This window comes from Homo sapiens, chromosome 3, assembly GCF_000001405.40.
Source record: "Homo sapiens chromosome 3, GRCh38.p14 Primary Assembly".
Taxonomy (NCBI): Eukaryota; Metazoa; Chordata; class Mammalia; order Primates; family Hominidae; genus Homo; species Homo sapiens.
The window spans coordinates 176,216,811-176,223,822 of record NC_000003.12 but is presented as its reverse complement, the minus strand read 5'-3'; the positions used below and the strand labels follow the sequence as shown (position 1 = coordinate 176,223,822).

Here is a 7,012-nt window from a genome sequence, read left to right as displayed (position 1 = left end):
ATAATACTATATAATATATAATTGTATATTATTTTATATAATAATATATTAATATATAATTATATATATTTTATATATTATGTATTATTAATATAATATATTATATATAACATATAATATATTATATATTATTTTTATATATAATATATTATATATAAGATATAAGATATAATATCTTATATATAAGATATTATATCTTATATATAATATATAAGATATTATATCTTATATATAAGATATTATATCTTATATATTATATATAATATATTATATCTTATATATTATAAATATATATTATATATCTTATATATTATAAATATATATTATATATCTTATATATTATAAATATATATTATATATCTTATATATTATAAATATATATTATATATCTTATATATTATAAATATATATTATATATCTTATATATTATAAATATATATTATATATCTTATATATTATAAATATATATTATATATCTTATATATTATAAATATATATTATATATCTTATATATTATATATTTATAATTTATAATATTTTATATATCATATATAATATATTATAAATATTATAAATATATAATATTTATAATATATAATATACATAATAAATATTATATATAATATATTTGTAATACATATATTATAAATATATATATTTACTATATATTATATATTATATGATGATAATGGGCGCTGTGAGGTCCTCTTGTTTACCTTCTCCTTGCAAAGCGAAGTCCCTTCTGGTTCCAAGCTGATTCTGACTTACGGGAATGAGGTGGCAGAGGCAAAGTGTCTCCTTTCCTTCCATGTGTGACCATCCTGAGTTTCTGTGCTCTACAAGATTTCTGCAGCTTCTTTACTATTATCCAGTGCTCCTTTAGTTATTTTGGATAAAGCGTAGTTTTTTTTGTAGTTTTGGAATTTCTTTTTATGGGAATGAAGACCACAAGGAGCTTCTAGTCAGCCATCTTGCTGATGTCACTGTTACTAGTTACTTCTTGTGTCTATCTTTTAATATTATGCTTTCCTAAAATGTTGCCTATTTCGTCTAAATTTCCAGACATAATTTTTCATAATAATTTATTATCTTTTTAATACCTGCTAGCTTTTAGAGACAAAGTACTTTTACTTTTTAATTTGTTACAAGTTATTTATGCCTTCTAACCCCTTTCCCCTCTTTTTAAAATCATTTTGCCAGATGTTTGCTTTTAGTCTTTTCAAAGAATTAACACTTCAATGTATTAATCATCTCTTTATATTTTTTTCAGTTTATTATTCAGCTTTCATCTACATTATCTTTCCTTTTTTAATTAAAGTTTTCTTTGCTGTTTTATTTCTAACATCTTTAGATGGACGCTTAGCTCCTTACACTTCGAGCCATCCTTATTTCCTAGTGCATTACTTTAAGGCTATAAATTTTCATCTATTACTATTTTAAAAGTGTCCCCGGTTTTTTGTGTAACACACTTTTATTATCATTCAGTTTAAGACATTTTATAATATCTGTTGTTATTTCTTTTTATTTAAGGTTTAGATAACATTCATTTCTTATTTAGCAAATAGAGTTTTTCTAGAGGCTGTTTGTTGTAGTTGCCTAGTTAAATTTCATTGTGGTCAGAGAACATATTCTATATTTTATCAATCCTTTGGAAATTGTAGAGATTTTCTTTATGGATGAAAATAGAGTCAATTTTGTGAATATTCCTTTTTTGCTTGAAAAGAATGTGGGTCTTAAGATTGTTGTATGTTATATTCCAATATAAATTTATTTGTTCAATATTAATTATTTTGTTAACATAAACATTTATAAAAGTAATATTTTTCAAAATATAGAATTATTTTATATTTTTATAAAACTCTTTAATTTTGACTGTTTGAATATAGCTAAATTCTCATATCTGTTTCTGCATTCAACCTGTTGCAATATGTTGTTTTGGTTTAAGTGCATGAAGACAATTGGGCCTCATCTAGTTAGGCAGTTGGAAAATAGAGTAAGTTGGATGACCATTAGTTGTCAGATCATATTTTAAGAATGCCTGGTCTAGTTCCATTATTTCATTAGATACCACAAAATACTAATTTTCTAATTTTACCAATACCTCAGTATTGAAAAATCTCCTTTGTATTCTCTTTTAATATCTGATTTATTTTTTATCATCTATTCAAAACAATATATTTTCTGCCATCTCTCTTTACTCTTGTGTTAATTCTAATCTTTTCCCTGATTATTAAACTTAACTTATAATTATTTCCCAAATTCTTTTAACTGTCTTTCATGTCCTTATTTCTCATTTTTTCCAATCTTTCTACCAGATATCCTATTTTTCTTTCATAATCCCTGTTTACTCCTATAGAAATACTAGTTTATAGGTTTTCCCTGCATTATGACACATTTTTCCGGTGTGTCTCCATTTCCTACAGGTGTTTGATTCTCATTATCCTCTTTTATTCTTCTAGTATTTACTATGGGTTTGAATGTAATCCTTTTTTATTCTTTATGTCTAAATCAGATGAATTTTGTTATAATTTTAGAAGTTTAAGCCAGAAAAGGATTTCTCATTTTATGGCTCCAGGGCTGCTTCTTTGGGGGTGTGATGAAAATATTATTGCTACTGCTGCCAGGGGTGCTGCCAGGAGGAAGCTCTGAGCTACCAGCCTCTTAGGGGATTAGCACAGCTACGGAAAACCACTTTGCTCACATTCACTCCCCTCCCTGGAGTGATCTAAAACCAATTAGGATGACGGGGAGGCCGAGCATGGTGGCTCATGCCTGTAATCCCAGCACTTTGGGAGGCCAAGGCGGGAGGATCACGAGGTCAGGAGATCAAAACCATCCTGGCTAACACGGTGAAACCCCTTCTCTACTAAAAATACAAAAAAAAATTAGCTGGGCGTGGTGACGGGCGCCTGTAGTCCCAGCTACTGGGGAGGCTGAGGCAGGAGAATGGCGTGAACCCAGGAGGTGGAGCTTGCAGTGAGCCGAGATTGCACCACTGCACTCCAGCCTGGGCGACAAGGCGAGACTCCGTCTCAAAAAAAAAAAAAAAAAAAAAAAAAAAAGGATGAGGGTGGGAATTAAAACCCAGCTCCGAACAATTCCTGAAGGGCTTTTCTTGCTGCAGAGCTCCCAGTGTGGGCAGCTGAGGCTATTGCGCTGACATTGCAGCTTGATAGCTCCCTGTATCCAGCCCCACTTCCTTCCCTCCCTTTCACAAGTATTGATCCCAAAGGATCCCCCTTCATAAGCATCCAGTGTGCTAAATCCCGTCTCAGAGCTTTCTTCTAGGACCCAACCTGAGATGTGACAACTAATATTGAGAAAGTAGTCTGTCACTTTACCAGAATTTCTGCCACCTGCTTTCTCTCAAGTTTTCCTCAAATGGTATCGAAAACTTGCCTTCCTTTTACCCCAAATCTGTTTTATTCCTCAAGCAATTTGTATTTTACTTCAAGTCGTCTGTCTCTGTTGTCAAGTCTCTGTCCTTTCGTTGAGTATTTCAGTAGCTGTGAAGTCCCAGGTAACCCCTCATGGTCAGTCCTTCCCAGAGAATCTTGTACTCACCTACCAGTTTGGATTGCTGTTCTCAGATCCACCAGTTAATTTCTTTACTCCCAGTGGGGGGGCTTTGTTTGGAGTGGTGAGGACTTAGCATTGCTCAGAGCCGTCTTCTCTTTCTTCCCTTTGTTCTCACACCACTGCTGACCTGGTGGTTTGCCCCAGTCTCCTTGATGCATATTCATCAGGTCTTATTCAACACATTATTTCCATCGTTTTGTTCTGCTATCCTGGTTGCTCCATCCATTTTTTTTGGAGGATTTGTGGAGATTTTAGTAGAGCTCCAAAGATATGCTTCTGCTATCTTCTTAGCATTTATCAGAAGGTGATATTTCTTGATACATTCTAAATCCGGACACCTCTTAGGGAGTTTCCTTGCTTTCTTTTCTTAATCTCCTTAGTGATCTTCCCGCTTCACTCTGACTCCTGCTCACATCATTTCCCATTCCTTGTGGAACTTCCTCTTTTGGGTTCTGCCACTGCCAGTCTACCACTTGTCTTCTCATTTTTTCCTGCTTGTCTCAGTTTTTGGTTTTTTTCTGTTTGGTGTTGCTTGGCTATATGAACATATAATTTAGATTTTCCCCCACTCATTTTGTTTTCTTGTTTAGTTTATTTGAGAAAAAGTAGAGCCATTATTTCTGATACCATAGGTTCCTAAAATGTGGAGGCAGAGTCCAACTCTTATTTGACACAGTTATTTTACCTTTTACTTTTATTATAGGTAGCTAGCAATTGTGTAATTTTTCACTTCACCTTCCATTGTTGAGAATTCCATTTTACCGCATTTAAATAAAAATTCAAATTCTCAGTTGATAAGTGGTTACTGATATGAAACATAGCTACTCACACAAACCACTAGTGGCTAGAGCCCTTGGAGGGAAAGGCAGAAGTGGGTCTAATTTGAGGTAGCCCGATTATCTCCTTTTACAGTCTATCCCTGTCAATAAGTAGGCCAGGTATTCAATTTAGTCTCTTGAAGTGAGATAAATGTCTCATCAAATGATTTATATCAACATTCAGAAGCGTTTACCTAAGCGAGTGCTACATATAAAGACTATTTATGATTTTATAACAGATGAGAGCTGTCTGAAATAAGCATGCAGCCTGTACCATAGGCATACATCATTCCATTTTTAGAACTTCTGAAATATCTTTTGTGTATGTGTATTCAACACATACACACACATAATGTATATGTGTATTGTGTAGTTTTCTAACTAAATTAAAACATTCTCCTATGTACTCACCTTATCACTCAAGAAAAACAAAATTACCAGTAGCCTTGAAACCCAGTGTGCGTGCTACACAATCACATGCTCCACTCACTTTTTACAGAGATAACTATTATTCTAAATATGTTTTTTTAAATACATTCTTCCATATTTTTCATTTGCAAATGAGCTTTCTTGTCCATGTTTCCTGATGAACATGTACAAGAGTATTCTGGATTTTAAAGTATGCGATTGTTATATTTAGATAATGCAAGATACTCTTCCAAAGTGCTTTTAAAAATCTCCTGTCACAAGGAACGTGTAGGGGTCAATTTCTACAAATCCTTGCTTGTGCTTGGTACTGCCACATTAAATTTCTTTGGGACAAATGAACATTTTACTGATTACCAATATTTAAGCATCTTTTCTTATTATTGTTGTCCTTTGTGTTGGCAAGCCAGGCAAACTTCTTTGCTTCAACAAGAAGAAAATCATAAGCTTCAAAGCACACGCTAATAGAGATGGATAGCCCTGGTGGGCTCTATGATGGGCCCTACAGTCAGTGAGGCAACCTACCCACGTATATGCTGTCTTCCCTCTGAAGCCTGAAAAATACTGCACTCACTCATAATTTTGAATATGCCACTTGCATTTTGTTAACAAATGTTACTGGCCTTTTCTTCTCTCTTTTATTCTGACATCTTTCTTTTTAGTGTGATTGATATTTCTGATGTAAGAATCATGGTGCTCTTCCATGGTAGGGGTAGTTTTGATCAGTGCCCCATAACAAGCTAGTAATTTTCCTCTAAATGAGCTATCATGAGTATTTGTATCAGGGACATTTGTATATCAACACCTGAGAGTAGCCTTTTGCGGAGTTTCTGCCCAAAACTCCAGTCTGGGTACATTTTATTAGTAGTTTCTCCAGACTAGCCTTCTTTGGTTTCTGCCCAAAACTCGAGTCTCAGTATATTTTGCTTTCTAGCATGTCTAGCATCATCTGAGCAATCAAGTACACTAATAAGAGCCAAGTTGGATTGCCTGTGCTATGATCCTTAGGAATATTTTAAGGCATATTTTCTAAACAGCCATCCTCCCATCCAAATTCAGATTTGTTTCTGCTGATTTTGTTTATGGACCAACAAGATTCCTGGATGAGAAATATAATTTCACCAAAACCCCAAATTCTTAGCTGTCTCTGAGTTTCCCAATAGTGACTTGGTCTGTGAGAAACAGTAGCTTGTTTCTCACAGTTTAAGGAATGATTCTAAATTTAAGAGCTCATGCAATCCTCTAGAACTTCACAAACTTTGCTAAGCCCTGAATTTTAGTTGGATGCATCAGCTACACAGGGTGACTGTAGTCATCAACCTCTCCTTTACGCCTTCCTCTCCGAAGCCAGCTGTCAAGATATCACAGTTGTAGTGTCTAACTTGCACTTAATTTTTGTCAGTGTAAATCCTGCCTAAGTGATGGCAAAACAAACACAACACTCAAAACTTAATAGCACATAAACCTAAAAAGGAACAAAATATTTGAATACACACTATACCAAAGAAAATATACTATTGCAAATAAGTACATTAAAATATGTTCAACTTTTTTTTTTTACAGGAATGTAAATTAAAACTGTAATGAAATACAACTACATGCCAACTGGAATGGGTAAACATAAGACTGGCCATGTCAAGTGTTGGTGAGAAAATGGAGCAAGTAGAATTCTCATACACTGCTGGTGGGAATGTATAATGATGCAACCACTTTGGAAATTAGTTTGTCATTTTCTTTTTTTTTTTTTTTGAGACAGAGTCTTGCTCTGTTGACCAGGCTGGAGTGCAGTGGCACAATCTCGGCTCACTGCAACCTCCACTTCCCAGGCTCAAGCAATTCTCCTGCCTCAGCCTCCTGAGTAGCTGGGATGATAGGCGTGTGCCACCATGCCCGGCTAATTTTTGTATTTTTAGTAGAGACAGGGTTTCACCATGTTGGCCAGGCTGGTCTCCAACTCCTGATCTCAGGTAATCCTCCAGCCTCGGCCTCCCAAAGTGCTGGGATTACAGGCGTGAGCTACCGTGCCCAGCTAGTTTGTCATTTTCTTAAACAAATGATATGTACTCTACTATACAACTCAGTCATTCCACTCCTCTATGCTTATTTGAGAGAAATGAAGTATGGGTGCATACACAGGAATGATGTGAATCATCATATTAGCTTTTTGTGTAGTAGCCAAACGCTAAAAA

At 34.1% G+C, this 7,012-nt stretch overlaps 1 annotated feature.

Annotated features, from left to right (window-relative positions):
• Nucleotides 3,274-4,042: an enhancer, noted in NCBI's record as "OCT4-NANOG hESC enhancer chr3:175937569-175938337 (GRCh37/hg19 assembly coordinates)". NCBI's record gives its function as "activates a minimal SCP1, AML or CMV promoter by ChIP-STARR-seq in naive H9 embryonic stem cells {active_cell/tissue: H9 hESC(naive)}" and the evidence as "EXISTENCE:reporter gene assay evidence [ECO:0000049][PMID:30033119]".